The 24,319-nt window shown below is 40.1% G+C and overlaps 1 protein-coding gene across 2 annotated transcripts in view, besides 1 other annotated feature; it reads left to right on the forward strand.

Annotated features, from left to right (window-relative positions):
- CDC42SE2 (CDC42 small effector 2) overlaps nt 1-24,319 on the forward strand; it is a 184,621-nt gene that overhangs the window by 14,437 nt on the left and 145,865 nt on the right. Inside the window, exons 2-3 of one of the 2 annotated variants that reach the window (XM_047417396.1) lie at nt 1,268-1,358; nt 8,434-8,586. The gene's annotated coding sequence lies outside the window, so the exon portion shown is untranslated. The remainder of the gene's footprint in view (nt 1-1,267; nt 1,359-8,433; nt 8,587-24,319) is intronic. The other variant, XM_047417393.1, reaches the window with a different exon arrangement.
- Nucleotides 343-442: an enhancer, noted in NCBI's record as "active region_23044". NCBI's record gives its function as "activates an Ori minimal core promoter by ATAC-STARR-seq in GM12878 lymphoblastoid cells {active_cell/tissue: GM12878}" and the evidence as "EXISTENCE:reporter gene assay evidence [ECO:0000049][PMID:35858748]".

Below are 24,319 nucleotides of genomic sequence, written 5' to 3' on the forward strand. Positions count from 1 at the left end.
CCCTTCAAATATATGCAGTATCTGACCACCCACCACTTCCTTGGTTACTGCCCTGTTCTGAACCACCATCCTTTCTCACCTGGCCTAACCCAATAACCTCCTCCCTATCTCTCTTCCTCTAACTTAAACTCCATAGTCCATTCTCAAAACAGCAGCCAGAGTGAGCTTCATAAATGTAAGACAGCTGCTATCATTCATCTGTTCAAAGTCCTGCAATAACTTCCCATTTTACTCAGAACGAAAGTCAAAATTCTTACAAGAGGCTCAACATTGCCTCTTTTAAGAGTGAAGCGTGCTGAATGGCCACAGAGAAAAGGGTGACCGCAGCAGATGCAGGAGCCAAAGCAGAAGGTCAGGCAAGGGAGTAGGACAAGGCAGCAGGACAAGCAGAAGCAGCATCTGGGTAGAGTGAAGGCATCAGGCCAGCAGCAGCCCATGTGGGGGTGCCCAGCAGGGGACCTAGAGGCAGAAGCAGCAGACTGGAAGACAGGGAATGGGGGGTCCACATGAAGCAGCTATGGTGGGCATGGCAGGCAGAGAGGGTAAGCAGTGGCCGCCGTGTGAACAGTGGCTTAGGTGGAGCCCTGAGCCAAGCTCAGAGGATAGCAGCAGCCTGGTTGAAATCGAAGTGGTGGCCCAGAGCCAGGGGAAGCCCAGAGCAAAGCAAAGGAACATTACACACAGTGGCTTCTCTTGATTCATGACACTATGTAACAACCTCTAAAAACCCTGGAGAGGTGTCCATAGGAGAGAACCTTGAAAGAAGTCTAGAGTGGTACAGTTATTTGTGTGAGAGCTTTCAAACTAACGGGATTTCAGGCCTAAATATTAAGGTGATTTTATGCGTACCTACAAGCCAGGGAGTTATAGGGACATTCAGAGCTACATACTTGTTTATGACTGTCCTAAAAGAAACTGTCTCATACAGTAGCAAGGTCAAGATTTCTGAAAAACAAACACAGAGGCTAATCCTGTGGGTGATTGAATTACAAGGCAATTTGAATTTACAACCCCACAGGATCACTTTTGTTCAAGTACAACACTGATTGGGAAGAAGTGGGACTTTGGAAATTGGCATGAGGAGTCTATAGAAAGATTTGAATGAAGCTTGGTCATTGACCTCTATGTTCCGCCAAGGCTCCTTTGCTTGCCCTACTTCCCTGCCTGAGAAAGTCAGTCTCCCCTTGCATGAAGAACCTGGAAGAGTGACTTTGTAAGAGACAAATCCTCCTCAGGACCTATCCCTACTATCTCTCATTGTTTCTAGACCTACAACCAGATTTAAATCACAGCAGGCCTCAGGAGGTCAGTTACCAAGTGTGACCTATGAGAAGGAACTAAACACACCAAAAAAAAAGGTAAGATCTTACCAATTGTGATTGATAAAAATGTGTGGAGCATGTTTGGCATCCCAAGAGTGTTGGATCAGGGTGGAAGGAATTTAAAATAGGATCAGGCCGAATTTATTGTTATGGGTACATGAAGCAGAGATTCTTGATTTGATGTGTTAGCTCAAGAAACTGAAAGTGGCTTTAACCATTTCCATGGCTGTTCACTGAAACCTGGAACCGAAGGATAATTGGTCCTGGGGTAGCAAGGATCAACTGGCCCTGTTTAATTGCCAAAGACAGGATGGGTATGGTTGACACAATTGGTGGCGAAGCGAAGTAGTAACCAGAAACGATTGTCTTGCAGAGATCTTTGGTGTTAGCTAATTGCTCATGGTTGTCTCAAGTCTGAATTAGGTGGACAGTCTACTGAAGTCTCACTTTAGTATAGCAATTTAGTATCATTTGTATGTAGTATGATTTGAATAAGCAGGAAAGCTCTAGGTTTGATAAGCAGAAGTCTGCCTTTAATTACACAATAGTCTTGGCCCCTTAACAAATTCCTACACTTGAACCAATTCACAAATTTAGAGACCCTTGAATAAAGAGGAGGCCAAGTTCCTGAAGGAATAATCCTGATACATAGCCAAAAGTTTATGTCATAAATCTCCCTCCTCACCTTCCCTAAAGGGGCCTGCAGTCATTCATTTACCAGGGTGATATGCATTGGGGAAAGTGGAATAGCCAAACTTTGTAGAGATTACAGAACACTGGCTTTAAACTGGCACTAATTCCTAGAGGACCAAAGCACCGCTATGGTCCACCAGCCAGAGTAGGGGCTTATGAATGAAGATCAGGTGATTATTGAAGTTTTGGCTGTGATTGGCTTCACAGCAAGTTCAGTAGGTTGTTGAACTCACCCTGTGGTTATTTATCCAATTCTGGCATGTTTAGTTGGAATAGACTTACTCAGCAGCTACCAGTACCCCTGCATTGGTTTCCTTACTCTTGGAGTGAAGGTTATTATAGTAGAAAGGCCAAATGAAAGCTACCACAACTGCCTCTACTTACCAAATAAATGCTCTCACTGGTTTGCTTCCCTGATCAGACCCTAACTCATACAATTACTAAGTAAGACTATTTTAGAGCTTATCTGAGTTACTAATATGATTCTAGCTACATATAGTTAGGCATAAATATAAAATAAAGAAGACCAATGACCTGGTCAGTTCAGCAGCTGGCCAGTCCAGAGGGAACACCATCACATCATTAATATTCATGACATTTTAAAAGAAATTACAAGGCTGGGTGATGACTCACGCCTGTAATCTTAGCACTTTGGGAGGCCAAAGTGGGAGGATCGCTTGAACCCAGGAGTTCAAGTTTACAGTGAGCTATGATTATGCCAATGCACTCCAGCAGCCTGGGAGACAGAGTAAAACCCTGTCTCTAAAATAATACTATAATAATTACAAGATGCAGTCTTATAAGGAAGAAAGACTTTACATCTGTTAAATTTAAATTATGTATTTGGTTGGCGAGGTACAGTGGCTCACGCCTGTAATCTCAGCACTTTGGGAGACTGAGGCAGGTGGATCACTTGAGGTCAGGAGTTCTAGACCACCCTGGCCAACGTGGTGAAACCCCGTCTCTACTAAAATACAAACTAATAAATAAATAAATTCTGTATTTGGTAGATCATGATTCAATGTCAGATTGAGTGGATTTGTTTTATAAAACTAAAATTGAACATTAATTTATAGAATTTTATTTTATTTTTGACACATTTAATCATCCTTTGGCAACATTTCTTACCAAGTATAAAAACGAAAAGTTCTGTTTATTTGCATTATTGAAATCCAGTGGCTTTCAAATATGGGATAGTTCAATAACTTCCAGAATTCTAGAATTGGAGGTGATATAAAGAAGTTTAAAAAAGGAAATTTGGCCAGGTGCAGTGGCTCACGCCTGTAATCTGAGCACTTTGGGAGGCCAAGGTGGGCAGATCTCTTGAGTGCAGGAGTTTGAGACCTGCCTGGGCAACATGGCAAAATCCTGTCTCTACAAAAAAATACAAAAATCATCCGGAGGCTGGGCGTACTGGCTCATGCCTGTAATCCCAGCACTTTGGGAGGCCAAGGCAGGCAGATCACTTGAGATTAGGAGTTAGAGACCAGCGTGGCCCTGTCCATGGTTAGTAGAGACCTTGGCGAAACTCCATCTCTACTAAAAATACAAAAAATAGCCAGGCATGGTGGTGTGCACCTGTAATCCCAGCTACTTGAGAGGCTGAGACATGAGAATCGCTTGAACCTGGGAGGTGGAGGTTGCAGTGAGCTGAGATTGCACCACTGCACTCCAGCCTGGGAGACAGAGCAAGACCCTGTTTAAAAAAAAAAAATTATCCAGGTGTGGTGGTAGGTACCTGTAGTCCCAGCTACTCAGGAGGCTGTGGTAGGAGGATAGCTTGAGCCCAGGAAGTTGAGGCTACAGTGAGCTGTGATTGTGCCACTGCACTCCAGCCTGAACAACAGAGCAAGACCTTGTCTCAAGAAAGAAAGAGAGACAGAGAGAGAGAGAAAATGAAGAGTAAACACAGAGCAACTCTGGTCCTGATGGCTTTCAATTTCCCATGAAGTCCATTGGAATTCTGGCTTCAGTCTTTGACTTCTGTGAGATTTATATCCTTTATGTGAGTTACTCAAGGCTCTGTTCCCTGCAATAAAAGACACATGACTCTAAAAGTAATTAAAATTACATTATTTTTTCCTATAGTGCAAATACCAGCAGCTTTAGCTCCTTACCGTCTTTTAGGGTGTATATCCTCATCATGGACAGAATGTTTGTGTCCCCCTCAAATCACATGTTGAGGCCCTAATTCCCAGTGTGGCTCTATTTGGTAAGGGGCCGCTGAGGAAGTGATTGAGGTTATGTGACCATAAGGATGGGTTTATAAGAAGAAACAACAGAGAGTTTGCTAACTTGCTCCCTTGAGCACATGCACCAAGGAAGGCCATGTGAGGACACAGCAAGAAGGCAGCTGTCTGCAAGCCAGGAAGACAGCTCTCACCAGAAACTAAATTGGCTAGAATCTTGATCTTGGACTTCTAGCTTCTAGAACTCTGAGAAAATTAATTTCTGCTGTTTAAGCCATCCAGTGTGTGGTATTTTGTTGGGGCAGCTGGAGCAGACTAATACAATCCTGAGGTTCTTTCAGAAGTATATCCTGAAGTTTCTGAAGTCCCAGAATGCTACTGTGTGGAGCAAAATCAACTCATTCTCATGGAGAGAACCAGGCTCTCATTCCTAGAAATTTAAAAAACTACATAGACTTATAATTACCTTATGGGGTGTGTGTGTGTGTGTGTATGTGTGTTTTTAGAGATCGGGTTCTTGCTATGTTGTCCAGACTGATCTCAAACTCATGGACTTAAGTGATCCTCCCACCCCAGCCTCCCAAAGTTCTAGGATTACAGGCATGAGCCGCTGCACCCAGCCTATTTTTCTTTTATTTAATATAAACTGAACATTAATTAACCCTATACAATTTCTTCCTGTAGCCTGTAATTTAATTTACTATGTAATTTTATTTTTGTTATTATTATTATTATTATTTTAATTGAGAAGGGAGTCTCACTGTGTTGCCTGAAATGGTCTTGAGCTCTTGGGCTCAAGCAATTCTCCCGCCTCAGCCTCCCAAGTAGCTGAGACTATGGGCAGGTGCCAATGCACCTGGCTAATTTACTCAGTAATTGTTTTTTTAGCAATTTAAGAAAACTTGGAGCTCTGACCTAAAGTAGGTTGTTTGTTTGTTTTTAAATAAAGAAGAGAGAAAGGCCGGGCATAGTGGTTCATGCCTATAATCCCAGCACTTTGGGAGGCCAAGGTGAGTGGATCTCCTGAGCCCAGGAGTTTGAGACCAGCCTAGGCAACATGGGGAAACCCCATCTCTATTAAGAATACAAAAATTAGCCACGCATGGTGGCACGAGCCTGTAGTCCCAGCTACTCAGGGAGCTGAGGTGGGAAGATCACTTGAGCCTGGCATATAGAGGTTGCAGTGAGTCAAGATTACGCCACTGCACTCCAGCCTGGGTGAGAGAGCAAGACCTTGTCTCAAAAAAAGAAAAAAGAAAACTGTAACAGGTATCTATCTATGTACACAGAGCCAAGATTTAACACTATCATTTTACCATGTTTTCTTTGAATATCCTTTCTTTTCATTTAAGAAATAAAACCTTTCCAATATCATTTATAAGCATGGTATTGATTTTATTTAATGATCTAGTACCCAGAAGCACTAGAAGGTTGCTGAGCATCCTACTTGTTCTAATGACAATTCTGTCGCCTCCTTTTAATTTCGCATAATTTCCTTTGGGCTTGTCCTATTGCTGAATCTAAGGCTTCCAGTACAATGTTCACTGGAAAGCATTAAGGGCAGGCATCTTTGTCCTGTACTTGTCTTCAAAGGAAATTTTTCTACTGTTTCACCACTCATAATGATGTTTGTTGCAGTTTACTGGATACCTATTTCAATTATTAACCAATTTTTGAAAATGTAAACCACTTAAGTATTTCAAACAGGAAAGTTAGCTCGGGGAATTAATTACAAAATTATTGAAAAGGCGAAGGGGCAAAAAAGTGAAAAATGGTGTCACTCCAAGCCCAGGAAGTCTGTGCTTCTGAGCAGCTGCAGCACAGCTATTTCTGCTGCTAGAGGCTGCTGCAGAAGAAAACAAATGGATTCTCTCCCTTTGCCACCTTTTAAATCCCCACCATTGTCTCCTACTGACAGAATTGAACCAAACCACAGCAAGGGAACATGGGAAATGTAGTTGTCAGCCTTCCAGCCCTCCAGTGATAGAGAAGAGAAAATGCAAATGCAGGAAAGAAACCGAAAACTAAAAGTCAAATAAATTTCACAGTATTCTCCTTCACATTAGGGAGTTTCTGTCTATTCGTAGTCTTCCAAGGGGTTTATCGTTTGTTTACGTTTTCTGCACCTATTGAGACGTTAATATAGCTTTGCTTTTTAAATCTCTTAACGAGAATAATGAATTATATTACAGATTTTCTCATTGTTAAACCTGTTTTGCATTTCTGCTATAAAGCCTACTTGATCATGATACATCTATAAACATACATACACACACATGTATGTATATGTTTTCTATATGTGTATTTACATGCTTGATTTTATTTCCTAACATTTTGTTTAGGGATTTTACGTAAATGTTTATCAGCAGTATTGACCTTTAGTTTTTCTTTCTCCTTGCTGTCTTTGTGTAATTTTGTATCAAAGTTATACCAGTTATACCAGTTTGTGTCTTCTCCCTCCTTTTTAATTCTCTGGAAGATTAATTGTTATTTGAAGTTTGGCTTTTTAAAAATCTCCTATAAAACACTAAACCTAGTACTTTAAATGAGGACTTGTTTTAGATTAATGATTGTATTTTCATTCATATTTTTCTTTTTGAATCTGTTTCTGGAATTAATATTTTTCTAGAACATTATCTTTTTTTAAGATTTTCAAATTCAGTGGCATAAAACTATTAGAAGTATTTTAAAATAAATTTTAATATCCCAACTCTATCAGATCATTTTTGTTGCATAACAAATCATGCAAAAGCAACAAAAAAAACATGTATTGTTTGTTATGATTCTGTGAGTTGGCTGAATGGTTTCTTTCGGTCTGGGCCAGTTTGGTTGGGACTGAATGGTCTAATCTAACACGACCTTTCTCATATCTCTGGTGTTTGGCCGGCTGGTTAATCTAAAGAGGCCTATCTGAAATTATCTTGTCTTTTACTTGTGAGTTTAATCAGTTCACATTAATTGTGATTTCTGATGTATTTTAATTTATTACTACCAGTCTTACCTTTGCTTTTTGTTTCTTCCTTTTTGCCTTCTGTTGAAATCATTAACTTTTCTTCACCCTTTCTCTATTTTAGAATTGTTATACTTTTTTTTCTTTTTTCTTTTTTCTTTTTTTTGGAAATGGAGTCTCACTCTGTCGCCCAGGCTGGAGTGTGGTGGCACGATCTCCACTCACTGCAACCTCCACCTCCCAGGTTCAAGCGATTCTCCTGCCTCAGCCTCCCAAGCAGCTGGGATTACAGGTGCGCACCATGACCCCTGGCTAACTTGTATTTTTAGTAGAGACAGGGTTTCACCACGTTGGCCAGGCTGGTCTCAAACTCCTGACTTCAAGTGATCCACCCGCCTTGGCCTCCCAAAGTGCTGGGATTGCAGGTGTGAGCCACCACGCCCACCCTAGAATTACTGTACATTTGTTACCTATTTTTTTTTTCTTTTGAGACAGGGTCTTACTCCAGTAGCCCAGGCTGGAGGGCAGTGGCTTGATCTCGGCTTACTGCAGCCTTGACTTCCCGAACTCAGGTGATCCTCCCACCTCAGCCTCCCTAGTAGCTGGGACTACAGGCGTTCACCACTGTGTCCTGCTAATTTTTGTGTTTTTTGTGGAGACGGGGTTTCTCCATGTTGCCCAGGCTGGTCTTGAACTCCTGAGCTCAAGTGATCTGCCCATGTCGGCCTCCCCAAAGTGCTAGGATTACAGGTTTGAACCACCACACCCTGCCTATACCTATTCTTTTAGTGGTTACCTTAAAATGTTATCCTGGGCACAGTGGCTCACGCCTGTAATCCCAGCACTTTGGGAGGCTGAGGCGGGTGGATTACCTAAGATCAGGGATTTGAGACCAGCCTGACCAACATGATGAAACCCCATCTCTACTAAAAATACCAAACATTAGCCAGGTGTGTTGGCGGGCGCCTGTAATCCCAGGTACTTGGGAGGCTGAGGCAGGAGAATTGCTTAAACACAGGAGGCGGAGGTTGCAGTGAGCCGAGATCATGCCACTGCACTCCAGCCTGGGAAACAAAAACAAGACTCGGTCTCAAAAAAAAAAAAAAAAAAAAACAAAACAGAAATATTATCCCGTCTTTAAAATAGCTCAAGTTTAAAATGTGTTTACCCTCTTTTTGACTAATCCTCATCATGCTTTTTCTGCCTAATTCCCATCATCTTCCATATTATTGTTCTCTGATATTTTAATTTATTTTTAATTATTTTATGTTTTGACTAGGCTGCACACAGTAAAAAAAAAAAGAAAAAAATTTTTTGAAAGCTACAAAAAGGTGTACAGTGGAAAGGCTTCTTCCCATCTCTGTCCCTTGCTTCCAAGATCACCTTCTCAGAGGCAACCATTAGTACCAGCTCCTTGAATATCCCACCAAAGGTAATGTGTGCATATACAAACACATACGGGTCTGTATATATTTTTTCCTTTCTCGTATAAGGGATAGCATAAGACCCACACTGTTCTACATGTTGTTTTTCCATCTAAAAATATTTCTTGGAGATTATTTCCTATCAGTACATATATAACTATAATTCTTTATAATTTATATAAATATTTATGATAATACAATAGTTTTAAAATTCTTAAAATGGCCATTGTATGCATGTAGCATAATATATTTAATCAGTCACCTACTATGGATATTTATGTTGTTTAATGTCTTTGCTACTAAAAACAATTTTTTTGTTTTGGGACAGATTCTCACTGTCACCCAGGCAGGAGTGCAGTGATGCGATCTTGGCTCACCGCAACCTCCGCCTCCTGGGTTCAAGTGATTCTCCTGCCTCAGTCTCCCAAGCAGCTGGGATTATAGGCATGTGCCACCACACCCAGCTAATTTTTGTATTTTTAGTAGAGATGGGGTTTCACCCTGTTGGCCAAGCTGGTCTCGAACTGACCTCAGGTGATCCTCCCTGCCCCTGGCCTCCCAAAGTGCTGGGATTACAGGTGTAAGCTGCCATGCCGGCCTAAAAACAATATTTTAGTGAATATATTTGTATAGACCTCATTCTGCACACTATATGTATATTTGTAGTATAAATTCCTTAAAGGGCCTGCATCAAAGGGCATGTATGTTTTAATTTCAATCAATTCTCCAAATTTCTTTCATTATCGTCTTATATTCTGCCTCATTAAAACTTCCCATGTACCCCTCTCCATACTTTTTCTGCTTTTATTGGTGGATGTTGATACTCAGGGCAACCTTGAAAGCCTCATGTTGAAGAGGACAAAGTCACCATCAACCTATAGGTCCCTAAATGACTTCATGGATCAGACCTCCATCCCTACCTTTTCCTCTTTCCTTACCTGCTCTTACCACTAGGAAATCTGGCACTAGATTATTATATGTGCAAGAAAAAAAAATTCTGTTGTATTAAGTAAATGAAATGACGAAGTTTATTTGATGCAGCAACTAGCATTTCCCTATCTAGTCACCTTACAAACTCACTGAATAAATTTTTACAAATAATTGTTTTAAAAAAGATTTCTCTATATCCTTGCCAATGATTAGAAACATTTGTTGTTTGCAAATCAGATAGGTAAAGAATTCATCTTATTGAAGTTTTAAGTTGCATTTCTCTTATCTTATTAGGGTTTTCTGGATAAACAGAATCAATAGGAGATAGATAGATAGATAAATACATAGATAGATAGATAGGCCGGGCGCAGTGGCTCACTCCTGTAATCCCAGCACTTTGGGAGGCCCAGGCAGGTGGATCACAAGGTCAGGAGTTCAAGATCAGCCTGGCCAAGATGGTGAAACCCTGTCTGTATTAAAAATACAAAAATTAGCTGGGTGCAGTGGCGGGCGCCTGTAATCCCAGCTACTCGGGAGGCTGAGGCAGGAGAATTGCTTGAACCTGGGCGGCAGAGGTTGCAGTGTGCCAAGATCGTGCCACTGCACTCCAGCCTGGGTGACAGAGTGAGACTCTGTCTCAAAAAAAAAAAAGAAAAAAAAAGAAAAATAGATAGATAGATAAAGAGAAGATTTGTTATGGGAATTGGCTCATGCAATAATTATGGAGGCCAAAAAGTTCTTGCCTTCTAGAAGCTAAAGAACCAGAAAAGCTGGTGGTCCAATGTCCAAGGGCAGCAGAAGATGGATATTCTAGTTTAGAAGAAATAATTTGTCTTTTCTCTACCTTTTTGTTCCAATGGGCCCCTCAGCAGATTGCATGCTTGGTGAGGGCAAATTTTTTTTTTTTTTTTTTGAGACAGTCTCACTCTGTCGCCCGGCTATAGTGCAGTGGCACGATCTCGACTCACTGCAACCTCTGCCACCCAGGTTCAAGTGATTCTCCTGCCTCAGCCTCCTGAGCAGCTGGGATTACAGGCACCCGCCACCACACCTGGCTAAATTTTTTGTAGTTTTAGTAGAGAAGCGGTTTCACCTTGTTGGCCATGCTGTTCTCAAACTCCTGACCTCGTGATCTGCCTGCCTCAGCCTCCCAAAGTGCTGGGATTACAGGCGTGAGCCACCGCGCCTGGCCAGTGAGGGCAAATAGTCTTCACTCAGTTTACTGATTCAAATGCTCAGTTTACTGATTCAAATGCTAATCTCTTCCAGAAATACTCTCACAGACACATCCAGACATTTTTTTTTTTTTTTTGAGATAGAGTCTCGCTCTGTAGCCAGGCTGGAGTGCAGTGGCATGATCTCGGCTCACTGCAACCTCTGCCTCCTGGGTTCAAGTGATTCTCCTGCCTCAGCCTCCCGAGTAGCTGAGACTACAGGTGTACACCACCACACCCAGCTAATTTTTGTATTTTTAGTAGAGACGGGGTTTCACCATGTTGGCCAGGATGGTCTCGATCTCTTGACCTTGTGATCCACCCACCTCAGCCTCCAAAAATGCTGGGATTACAGGTGTGAGCCACTGTGCCTGGCCTATTTTTGTTTGTTTTTGTTTTTTTTAGACAGAGTCTCACTGTGTCACTCAGGCTGGAGTGCAATGGCATGGTCTCGGCTCACTGCAATCTCCACCTCCCGAGTTCAAGCAATTCTCCTGCCTCAACCTCCCGAGTAGCTGGGACTACAGGCACGTGCCACCACACCCGGCTAATTTTTGTATATTTAGTAGAAATGGGGTTTCACTATGTTGGCCGGGCTGCTCTCGAACTCCTGACCTGGTGGATCCGCCTGCCTCAGCGTCCCAAAGTGCTGGGATTACAGGTGTGAGCCACCGCACCCGGCCCCATCCAGAAATAATTTTACCAGCTATCTGGCGTCCCTTAGGCCAGTCATGTTAACACATATAACTAACCATCACACTTATTATGACTTAAGTTAAAAACCGTTTTTTATATGTGTTCATATATTAAGAACCATTGTTATTTCCTTCTTTGTGAACTGTCACTTCACATCGTATGTCCTTTCCTTTATAGAATTGTTAGCTTTTTTTCTTGTGTTTATCATATTAATTGCAAGTATTTTTTCTCAGATTGTCATTTGTCTTTTAACTTTGCTTATGGGTCTGTTTGGCTTTTTTCCCTTCAGGAATTTTTGCATAATTTGATGTGTAATAAGTTTAGCAATAGCTTCTTTTATAGTTTCTGCATTTTTTGTCAGATTTAGAAGGGCCTTCATCACTTCACGATTTTTAATAAATATTCTTCCATATTTTCTTGAAGTATTTTCATAGTTTAATTTTTTACATTTAAATCTTCGATCCACTTAGGTTTTATTTTAGTTTGGGGTTTGAGGTAGATAGAGGTTAAGTTTACTTATTATTATTATTATTTTTTTGAGACGGAGTCTTGCTCTGTCGCCCAGGCTGGAGTGCAGTGGCATGATCTTGGCTCACTGCAGTCTCCGCTTCCTAGGTTCAAGTTGATTCTCATGCCTCAGCCTCCCGAGTAGCTGGGACTACAGGAGTGCACCATCAAGGCCAGCTAAGTTTGTATTTTTAGTAGAGATGGGGTTTCACCATGTTGCCCAGGCTGGTCTTGAACTCCTGACTTCAAGTGATCTGCCCACCTCGGCCTCTCATGCTGAGATTATAGGCGTGAACCATCACACTCAACCGATTAAATTTACTTCTTTCCCTAATAGCTACCAGTTGTTCTAATGTACTAATTGCTTAATCTGTCTTTTCCACAAGACTTAAGTCTGACCTTTACTATAAACTAAATTTCAATATATGTTACTACAATTTCTGTACTTTCTATTATTTCACTTATTTGTCTGTTTTTCTACCTGCCCAAACCACATTACCCTAATTATCTTTATAAAATGTTTTAATAGCTTATAGACAGAGTTCCCATTCATTACTCCTCTATTTCATATTTTTTCCCAACTATTCTGGCTTATTTTTCCACATAAACTTTAAAATAAGCTCATCTAGTTCTCAAAAAATAAAATTGTTTGTGGGAGACAGCAGGGATCACCTCATTTTAAACCAAATTTAGTCATTTTATTGTTGTTTAATTAAGTCAATATTTAAAAATCCTTTGATCATCATTGTTTTTTGCATCCCACTCTTCCTTAATTCATTTCTCTTTCTATTAAGAAAGTTCTTTCTGAAAAAGTCTAAGAGGCAGACTGCCTCAATCAGCTTGTCTGAAATCTTTTTACTTCTCTTTCACTCTTGAATGATAGATTCACTTGATACAGAATTCTATGCTGATGTTTGTTTTCCCCCTTCGGCACCTTGAAATAATTATTCTTTGTTTTCTGATTTCTGTAGTTGCTACTGATGTATCTGTTTTCAGTGAAATTGTTCTTCTGGGTTGCCTTTCTGATTTTTCTTTATATCTGAGGTATTTTGCAACGTCCATATTTTCTCAAGGTTTCCTTAAGAGTTTCTTTCTTTTTTAGGAATTTTGTAGTATCACTGTGATGTGTTTGGACATACATACATCACATTTTTTTTGCTTTCATTTTATTTTTATTTATCTTTGAGACAGGGTTTCACACTGTCACCAGGCTGGAGTGCAGTGGCACGAGCATAGCTTACTGCAGCCTCAAATTCCTGGGCTCAGGCAATCCTCCTGCTCAGCCTCCTGAATAGCTAGGACTATGTAGGATTGTAGGCGCTCACCACCATGGCCCAGCTAATATTTTTCTTTTTTGTAGACACAGAGTCTCGCTATATTGCCCAGGCTTCTTCCAAACTCCTAGCCTCAAGTGATGATCCTCCTGCCTTGGCCCCCCAAAGCACTGGAATTACAGGTGTGAGCCATTGCACATTGCCTTATTTTACTTGTATTTATTCTTTTCTATTCTCAGTGTGTTCCTCTATTTGGGAATTTACTTCTTTCATAATCTTTGGAAAATTATCAGCCATTATGTTTTATATATAGGCTGTCTTGCATTCTTACTACTCTTTGTGAACCACTATCAGACATATATTGGGCCTATCAGTTTATTCTTCATGTTTCAGAACCTCTCAATAGTATTTTTCATCCTTTCCCACTGCATGATGCATCTAAATAAATTCTCGGGGGTGAGGGCAAGGGGAGGGAGAGCACTAGGACGAATACCTAATGCATGTGGGGCTTAAAACCTAGATGACGGGGGCGGGGCACCGTGGCTCATGCCTGTAATCCCAGCACTTTGGGAGACCGAGGCGGATGGATCGCGAGGTCAGGAGATCGAGACCATCCCGGCTAACACGGTGAAAACCCGTCTCTACTAAAACTACGAAAACAAAAAATTAGCCGGGCGTGGTGGCGGGCGCCTGTAGTACCAGCTACTCAGGAGGCTGAGGCAGGAGAATGGTGTGAACCCGGGAGGCAGAGCTTACAGTGAGCCAAGATCGTGCCACTGCACTCCAGCCTGAGCGACAAAGCCAGACTCGTCTAAAAAAAAAAAAAAAAAAAGTGATGGGTTGTTGGGTGCAGCAAAGCCCATGGTACATATATACCTATATAACAAACCTGCACAATCTGCACATGTATCCCGGAACTTAAAGTAAAAAAATAATAATAAAAAAGAAAAGAAAAGAAAACCTTAAAAAATATTATTTTTCTCTAGCTTCCATTTTACTATTTTTTTTTCTTCAGGTGTGTATAATCTGTACTCTAATAAGTAGCTCATTGAATTTTTCAATTCAAATAACATTTTTTAATTTCTAGAAATTTTATGTTTTTCAAAATCAAAATTGTCTGTTGTCTTTCATACGCATTATCCTATAATTTTGATTCTTGTCTTTTCTTTAATCTTTTTATCTTTAAAAATTATTATTACACCGGGCACGGCTGTAGTCCCAGCACTTTGGGAGGCTGAGGCGGGTGGATCACGAGGTCAGGAGTTTGAGACCAGCCTGACCAACATGGTGAAACCCCGTCTCTACTTAAAATACAAAAATTAGCTGGGCATGGTGGCGCTCGCCTGTAATCCCAGCTACTCAGGAGGCTGAGGCAGGAGAACCGCTTCTACCCAGGAGACAGACGGAGGTTGAAGTGAGCCGAGATTGCACCACTGCACTCCAGCCTGGGCGACAGAGACAGACTCTGTCTCAAAAAAAAATAAAATAAAAATAAGAAAGAAAGAAAGAAATATATATATATTAAAAACATTATTATTTTTTCAAAATTTTTAAAATCTTTTTAATAACTTGAAAGATAATTATTTTTCAGAAACATTTTCTGACTGGGCGTGGCAGCTTATGCATGTAATTCCAGCTACTCAGGAGGCTAAGATGGGAGTATCACTTGAGCCCAGGATGTCAAGGCTGCAGGGAGCCATGATCACACCACTGCACTCCAGCCGGGGCAACAGAGCGAGACCTTGTATCAAAAAAGAAAAAAAGAAATATTTTTCTATAACTCAAGGCCTTAAGGTTGCTTATCCTCCTGTTTATTGTGTTTGGAGGGACTGTAATCTAATTTTATATGTTTTGTTGTTTTTTTATTGTGTATTTTGAGTGACTTTGCCATTTTTTATTGTGAACCTAGCTTCAGTGTAAAATTCATGGACCACTGTTGAAAGAACAACCTTATAGAGCAGTTTTGTGTTTGCTTCTGCCAGGCACCCTAGGTATTTTTCACTGGGGTCCTGCATCAGTTTTAATATTAATGCCTCAGCTTGGACTTCCCTCACCATAGGGGTAGAATAAATTCAGATTCCTCATCTGGAAGAAGCTTAACTTTAAGTCTGGTTTCTCATTTGGGGAAGGGGATCTCTATCCCAAACAGAGTCCAGCTTAGAGCGAGCTTCCTTGACTCTTATCTGACAGTTTTTCTATTCCTCTTTCCTAGAGGGGAACTCCTTCATTAGATCATTGCTTTCTTAAGGAAGTATCAGTTTTATATCCCTGCTTTAGAAGGGTCAAGACTATATTTTATGTTCTCCTTTGATTGTTAAACCCCACCCTCTGGCTATTGGGGTGAACATTTGTATCCAGTAATCTATCTTAGTATCAGTTCATACACTTTCCACTCTAGAAATCAGTTATCAGCAATTTCTGGCACCAGGGAATTTTCTGTCTTTCTTATAGGCTCAGTTACAGACTTTAACTATTTCTCCATGTTTTATGCAACAGTTTTCTAAATTTAAAAATTCATGAATTTTTGTTATGTTTTGTCTTAGCTCAGAATCTAAACTACATTTCCATTCTAGTCATTCATTCATAAATATAGCAGTATTGGGTTTCTCTCCTAACATTTCTCTGTATGTTTATTTTTGTTTGGCTACCTGTCAAACTACATTTAATATCTACTGTCCATTTGTTTTAGAACCTTATAAAAGATATCAGAAAAGTGCATTTATAATATTAAGGTGAAACCAAACATAACTCTTAGCCTTCTGCTTTGAGCTTCAGGTAGATTTTATTCAGAACTTAAGCAAGTTTCTTTGTTAAACAAACAAACAAACAAAACACAAACGCGTCGGGGTATATTAAGCAAGTTTCTCCAAGAGTAAACATCCTTGCATTGTGAGATCATCACAGAATAAGTGACCTACACCTTTGTTCACCATGATTTGATGTTGCAGCCTCTGGTTTATAAAGTTTTGAGTAGCAATTCCCCAGTTTTAATAAAATCATGGTAAAAATATATGTTATATTCCCAATTGCTTTTAAACATAAAAGGGCTTATGGTGAATTTGTCCCAAAGCTTAGTTCTGGAAAACAGTGTGCTCATATCAGTGATTTTGGAAACACTCTTTTGTCAGAAAATGAAAAATATATGCCATAATCTAATTCATTTTTGGTTTCATTGCTGGGGACCAGTGTTTATCGATGATACATTTCTGGTGTATGGTGGATAACTTTAGTTTCCTGAATTTCCTTCAGATGGTTTTATGGGTTTTGTTTTTGTTTTTGTTTTTGTTTTTGTTTTTGTTTTTGTTTTTTGAGACGGAGTCTTGCTCTGTCGCCCAGGCTGGAGTGCAGTGGCGCGATCTCGGCTCACTGCAAGCTCCGCCTCCTGGGTTCACGCCATTCTCCTGCCTCAGCCTCCTGAGTAGCTGGGACTACAGGCGTCCACCACCACGCCCAGCTAGTTTTTTGTATTTTTAGTAGAGAAGGGGTTTCACCATGTTAGCCAGGATGGTCTCGATCTCCTGACCTCGGCCTCCCAAAGTGCTGGGATTACAGGCGTGAGCCACCACGCCCAGCGGTTTTATGTTTTTTTCATGGTTATAAAGTCATGGCCTTATTTTGCTTGGTGCTTTCTTTATAAGCTGTCATAATAATTTATTAAACACTGAACCTATCCGGGCATTATTCTAAAGTAAGCTTGTTTTTCCTTATGCTATACCTCAGGCCTCAAAGTTATATATTTTTACCTTTCTTTTTTCTATTAATTATCATCACTATTTCTTTAGACTTCATCACATCCCACAGGATTTAAGGTTGCTAATATGACCTTAACTTTGTATAAAAGTCAACAAGTTACAATTGCCCTTTTACTCTTAATTCATGTTTAGGTCATTTTCTCTGATCTCAGAAAGTGAATTGTCTTTCCCCTTTATTGAGCACACCCCCTTTGCCTACACCCCTTGATTCACCCCCTTCTCACCTCCCAGACTTTCTTCCATTATTGATTTCTTCTCTTTTATCTTCAATCTCTTCATATACACAAACACTCAAACTCTCATAATTCCTGCATCTTCTTCAAGCGTTTCTTCAAATGTCATCTTCTCAGTGAAGTCTACCTTGACCACCACCTTATTTAAAATTTTAACCCCTGTCCACTTCCTAGTCCTTTTGCCTGCCTTTTTCCTCTTTCTTTAATCTCTGGTACTATATATATTATGCAATCTTCTATATAATAGATTACATATATGCAAGATTGTATATATAAAAATCTTTTATTTTTCACTATCTTGCCACTTGACAAATGGTAAAAATTCAATAAGCATTTGTTGAATGAATGAATAATAGTATTGCTATTCATTTGCCCCACCTAATGAAAGCCTGGTATCTTATCAGATATCTGAATTTTATTTTGGCTTGATACTCTTCCAGGCATACATCACACAACTATTATTTACTTGCCGGTATGCATTTGTTTCATCTAAGTTATTATTTCCACAGCGAAATCTAAAGGACGGGTAGTAGTTGTCCTTTACCAAACCAAAACATGAGAAAATGTTCAGAAAACAGAACTGAATTCTGGATTCTTTTTTCCTTCTGCTTCAGTACTACCTTCTTACAAGTGGTGACGTTTGTAGTAAATTGAACAAAAGCGAGTCCTTTCATCTCTGACATTCTGCTTGCTTATTATAATCAGAATAAGTGGCCTTCTGAAGTCAACAGCTGAGAATCATAAGAAGTCATTTGTTTATATATTCTCTCTAGAAAAAGTTTTCATGTTTGCAAGAAGGTTATCCATTTCTTCTTAAAATTTTATGACTCCTTTTTTTCATGCAATCTTTTTATTCATCAAATGGGTCTGGTGTCATTTTAGCTGAATTAAATAGTTCAAAATTATATAATTAAAAAATTCATTTCTATCACATCTGTCCACAAGTTCTGGCAGCCACCACCTATACGACAGGAGCTACTTAATATGTATGCTCTTGTTTGATCATTTTTTAACGTAACCAAAAATTTCAGGCAGCCAGGATTCAAAGGTTAGGTGGCTATGTTGGTCTAAGAACCTCTTACTGGATGCTGGCCAACACTCCAAGATTCTTTCTAGTTGCAGTAGTCTTCATTTTTCTAGGGTAAGTAATGGTGCCTGAACTATACACTGAGAAAAGCCTCCCAGAAGGTTCAAGGGAGGTGGTGTATCAGTCATACTGGTCATGTCAACATTGTGAACAAAGGGCACAGGGCACTGATTTTTGGTTAGGAAATTATCTAAGCCTAGTTCTTACAATCATGCAAATTACTAGTAAAGGATCCCAGAACTGTTGAGAACTTCCTGGAGCAATAAGCACTTACTCATCCTTAGTCCTTTTAGGGACAGTGGACCTCTAAAATGAAATCTTTGAGTAATCTTATGACTCATTTTTTGTATTTTTCTTTCCTTTTGAATTTCACTGCAGTCCTAATGGAACAAATAAGTCCATTTGTGCAGATGAGTTCAGCAAGCATAGTCCCTCTCACACAGGCAGCCTCATGGGTATGCAATATGTGCAGTTGCACAGGACCCTGCACTAGGCTTAATGTTTTGCTATTGCCAAGTTGATATTCTTAATAATTTTTGGCCGGGCGCGGTGGCTCACGCCTGTAATCCCAGCACTTTGGGAGGCCAAGGTGGGTGGATCACGAGGTCAGGAGCTCGAGACCATCCTGGCTAAAGTGTGAAACTGTGAAACCCCATCTCTACTAAAAATACAAAAAATTAGCCGGGCGTGGTGGTGGGCACCTGTAGTCCCAGCTACTCGGGAGGCTAAGGCAGGAGAAAGGCATGAACCCGGAAGGTGGAGGTTGCTGTGAGCCGAGATCGCGCCACTGCACTCCAGCCTGGGTGACAGAGCGAGACTCCGTCTCAAAAAAAATAAAGTAAAATAATTTTTAAACAAGCAGCCCTGCATTTTTCATTTTGCACAGGGCCCTACAAATTATGTAGCCAATCCTGGTCTCAGAATTTGGTCATTCCTAAAACAATGATTATTGGTGAAAATAGAGAAGTTCTGTTTTCAATACAAATTTAAAGTTGCTTGTAAAGTAACTTCTGATTTAGCCCAGCAGACTCATAATCTCAGTCTGTGAGAAAGCGGATGAATTGTCTGAGCTGAAATTCCTGCTGCCCAGGCTCATATCTGCAGTTTATACCTTTAAGGGAGCCATAGTTAGATCCCAGCAACAGCAATGGAACCCAGAAGACAATAGAATGGCTGTCAAATTAGAATTCAGTAAACTCTCACTTTTTTCAGTGAAGATCCTGAAGTTGAAAGCAAAAGAATGGAAAAACTTTGACCATGCAAATACTAATCATAAGAAAGCTGATGTAGCTTTAATAATTTCAGGCTTTAAAACAAAAAGTAGTACTAGAGATAGAAAACCATTCCACAATGATAAAATACCCAGGTCCAATTCACCAGAAAGACAGAATAATTCTAAATTTGTATGGACTTCATAAAGTGGCCCCAACATCTAAAAAGCAAAAATAAATGTAACTACAAATACGATTAGACAAAATTATAATCATAGTGGGTGATATGAATCTACTTTTTTCAATACTGATAGAATAAGAAGACCCAAAATACCAGAAAAGATAAAGAAGATTTGAACAATATGGTTAGCAAACTTGACTTAATGGACATATGGGGAACACTGTAACTTCAACTGCAGAAAACATGTTCAATTTTAAGCACACAAAAAACATCTTCAGGCCGGGCACAGTGGCTCACACCTGTAATCCCAGCGCTTTGGGAAGCCAAGGTAGGTGGATCACTTGAGGCCAGGAGTTCGAGACCAGCCTAGCCAACAGGGTGAAACCCTGTCTCTACAAAAAATAGAAAAATTAGCTGGGCATGGTGGCACATGCCTGTACTCCCAGCTACTCGGGAGGTTGAGGCAAGAGAATCGCTTGAACCCGGGAGGCAGAAGTTGCAGTGAGCTGAGATCATGCCACAGTACCGCAGCCTGGGCAACAGAGTGAGACCCTATCTCAAAATAAAAAAAAGAGGGGCTGCTGAGGAATATGCTCCAAGACCTGTTGGGTTAGGTCACAGCAACAAGGCCCACCAGCCCTCAAAAATTAAAAATATGCAGATCACTCTGAAGGGGGGTGGATTCACTGCAAAAACAAACAAACTTGAAAATGTGTATTTTTTATGGCTGAAGTTGGGGGACTCAGAATTACTGCGGGAAAATTACTGGGGGGAATCATGATAAGGGACAGCAGGAGCTGTTCCTGAAGTATACAAAGAAAATGTAATGGCAAAGCTAAGATAGTGGTTACCAGTGGCTGCTCAGAATTGCAGCTGGCCTTATGGGAGCAAATCCACAAACCAACCAATAGACTGGTGGGAAAACCCAGAATGGAATCAGAAAATAATTATGAAAACAGGAAAGAAAAGACAAAGATAATGTCTGGGAGCTGGTCCCCAACTTCTCCCAAGGAGGAGGCAACAAACATTCTTGAATTTTCTAGATACCAGCTCTTACAAGTGGTTATTTTCGGGTTTTGGTGTGTTTGCTTTCTAATTTATTTATTTTTAGTCTGTGCTGTGCCTACTGTTCTTTTGTCAGTCACCATAATTGATACTGTTCTGGGTACTGACATACTGATTGGGTTTATTCAATGTAACCCTTGTTGGTGATTGCTATAACAATTGACCAGGTTCATAGTCAAGAACAGCCTGTTCTTACCAAGATTGTACATTGAAACAATGTGTCATACCAAGAAGAAGAAAAAAAAATACTTAGTCTTCTCACATAATGTTTAACATACCAGTTGTCACACACTGCTGTCCCCTGGTCTAGTTAAAGGGTTCTGAAGGCTGATAGAAGTTAACAGTGTTTGGTGGCTTACCATGGTTCACTGGGACTTAAACAGGTGAGTAATTAATGTTATTCTCATAATGTAATGGTGCCTAAATTCTCCTGCATATTAGAATCACCTGGAGAGCTTCTTTAAAAATCCCAGTGTCAGATGAATTTTCTTAATCATATTACTTGAAGTTACTTGAGCCTTTACCTTCTTTTTTCTTCCTGTTTCTACTTTTATTAAAAGTAACATTCCTTGAACATCAGAATTTATGACATTTATGTTTTATCTTTAACCATAAACTTGACTTTTATTTTAGTCTATTGTTTTAGTCTATATAGTCTATTTTACAGTCTATGACAGCTAAATGAATTCAATACTTCACATTTTGTCCTTTTGCTGCAGTTTCTCCATCTCTCACTTGGCTGAAAGTAAATCCTCAAGTAGTTTGTTCAAGAAGAACTCACAGGGGTTATATTGCCTGAATTCTTTCATATTGAGAATTGTACTTCTATTACTTTTATACCTGAAAAACAATTTAACTGGACATAAAATTGTTGAGTCATGCTTTCTTTCCCTGAGGACTTTGGGTTCCTTGAGGATATTATTTTATTGACTTCTAGTCAGGGCTATAAAAAAATCAGGCTGGGTGTGGTGGCTCACGCCTGCAATCCCAGCGCTTTGGGAGGCTGCAGCAGGCAGATTACCTGAGGTCAGGAGTTCAAGACCAGCCTGGCCAACATGGTGAAACCCCTTCTCTACTAAAAATATAAAAATTAGCTGGGAGTGGTGGTGGGCACCTGTAATCCCAGCTACTCAGAAGGCTGAGGCAAGAGAATTGTTTGAATCCAGAAGGCAGAGGTTGCAGTGAGCCAAGATCACCATTGCACTCCAGCCTGGGTGACAAGAGTGAAGCTCTGTCCCAAAAAAATAAAATAAAATAAAAAGAAGAAATCACAGACACAATTTTTGTGACTTAAATTTTTGCCAGGTTTTTTTGGTTTTTGACATTCAATAACTTTTTTGCTAGGATATGTTTCATGTAGGTTGGTCCATAATAGAGTTAGGTTACCTTTTATCTGGATAAATAATTTTTCTTGATTTACGTCTTTAAATACGTATGATGGTTCTTTTTCAGGGTGGGTGAGGGTCCATGTTTGTGAGGACACCAATTATGCATATGTTGGATCTCTTTTCTTATCTTCCATACCTATATTTTTCACTCAAATCCTTTTTTTTTTTTTTTTTTGAGACAGAGTTTGGAGTGCAATGGCGTGATCTCAGCTCACCACAATCTCTGCCTCCGGGGTTCAAGAGATTCTCCTACCTCAGCCTCCTGAGTAGCTGGGACTACAGGCATGTGCCACCATGCCTGGCTAATTTTTGTATTTTTAGTAGAGATAGGGTTTCTCCATGTTGGCCAGTCTGGTCTCAAACTCCCAACCTCAGGTGGTCTGCCTGCCTCAGTCCCCCAAAGTGCTGGGATTACAAGCGTGCGCCCCCATGCCCAGTGCACCAATCCTCTTAAATACTTGCTTTAATTCCATTTCATTTTGTAGATTTTCCTCAATCTTTTGTTCTATGTCTCTTGCTAGGTTTTTAGTAGTACCTTTTATTGAGACAAATAGTATTTAGTATTTTTGCAAAAACACTAAACAAAATATTAGCAAATCAAATCCAACAATGTATTTTAAAAAGGTAATATCCTACAACCAATAGTTTAATATTAGAAAATGTATGTATATAATTTGTCACATCAACAGATTAAAATAGAAATGCTGTATGATCATATTAAAAATGTAAAACAGCCGGGCGAGGTGGCTCATGCCTGTAATCTTAGCACTTTGGGAGGCCGAGGCGAGTGGATCACGAGGTCAGGAGTTCAAGACCAGTTTGGCCATCATGGGGAAACCCTGTCTCTACTAAAAATACAAAAAACTTAGCTGGGCATGGTGGTGGGCGCCTGTGATCCCAGCTACTTGGGAGGCTGAGGCAAGAGAATCACTTGAACCCGGGAGGTGGAAGCTGCAGTGAGCTGAGAATGCACCACCGCACTCCACCCTTGATGACGCAGCAAGACTCCGTCTCAGAAAAAAAAAATGTAAAACAATTATTTATTTATTTATTTGTATAGATAGAGTTTCACTCTCACTCAGGCTGGAGTGCAGTGGCGGGATCATAGCTCATTGTAACCTGGAACTCCTGGGCTCAAGTGATACTCTCGCCTCAGCCTCATAAGTAGCTGGGATTATAAGCACAACAAGCCCAGCTAATTTTTAATTTTCTTTTTGTAGAGACAGGTCCTTTCTTTGTTTTCCCAGCCTGGTCTTGAAATCCAGGCTCCAAGTGATCTTCCTGCCTTGGCCTCCCAAAGTCTGGGGATTACAGCCATGAGCCACCATGCCCAGCCATAAAACAAGTATTTTACAAAATTTGATAGCTATTCATAATTTTAAAAATTATTTACAATTTTTTAAATAATTAAAAAATTTTAGTACATTAGAAATAGATGGAAACTTCCTTAACTTGATTAAGAGTATCTATACTAGAAAATCTAAAGAAACATCCTTCTAAATGGGAAAATATTAAAAGCATTCCTTTTTTTTATTTTTTTATTATTATTTTTTGAGATGGAGTCTCACTCTGTTGCCCAGGTTGGAATACAGTGGCGCGATCCCAGCTCACTACAACCTCTGCCTCCCAGGTTCAAGCGATTCTCCTGCCTCAGCCTCCTGAGTAGCTGGGACTGCAGGCGCATGCCACCATGCTTGGCTAATTTTTGTATTTTTAGTAGAGACGGGGTTTCACCGTGTTGGTCAGGCTGGTCTCAGACTCCTGACCTTGTGATCCGCCCATCTGGCCTCCCAAAGTGCTGGGATCATAGGCATGAGCCACCATGCCCGGCAGAAGCATTCCCTTTTAAAACAGGAATGAGATGAAGATTCCCCTGTCATTTTTTCTGTTTAATCTTCATTGGTGGTCCTAACAAGTACAGAGGCATAAGGATTGGCAAGGAGGAAATAAAACTGTATTTGTGGTTGATATGATTCTTTACCTAGAAAACCCCAAATAATCTTCAAATTAACAAGATATCTGATGTGAAACAAAAGTCAATTGCATTACTACATATTAGCAACAAACAACTAGAAAACATAAAGAGAATAAACTGTTTACAGTAATATCAGAGAATATCAACTATCTAGGAATAAATCTAACAGAAGTTAGCCAAGACCTCTTTACGGAAAATTATTATAAAACGTTGTTAAGAAACACGAAA

The sequence above is a fragment of the Homo sapiens genome, chromosome 5, assembly GCF_000001405.40.
Source record: "Homo sapiens chromosome 5, GRCh38.p14 Primary Assembly".
In the NCBI taxonomy this organism is placed as follows: domain Eukaryota; kingdom Metazoa; phylum Chordata; class Mammalia; order Primates; family Hominidae; genus Homo; species Homo sapiens.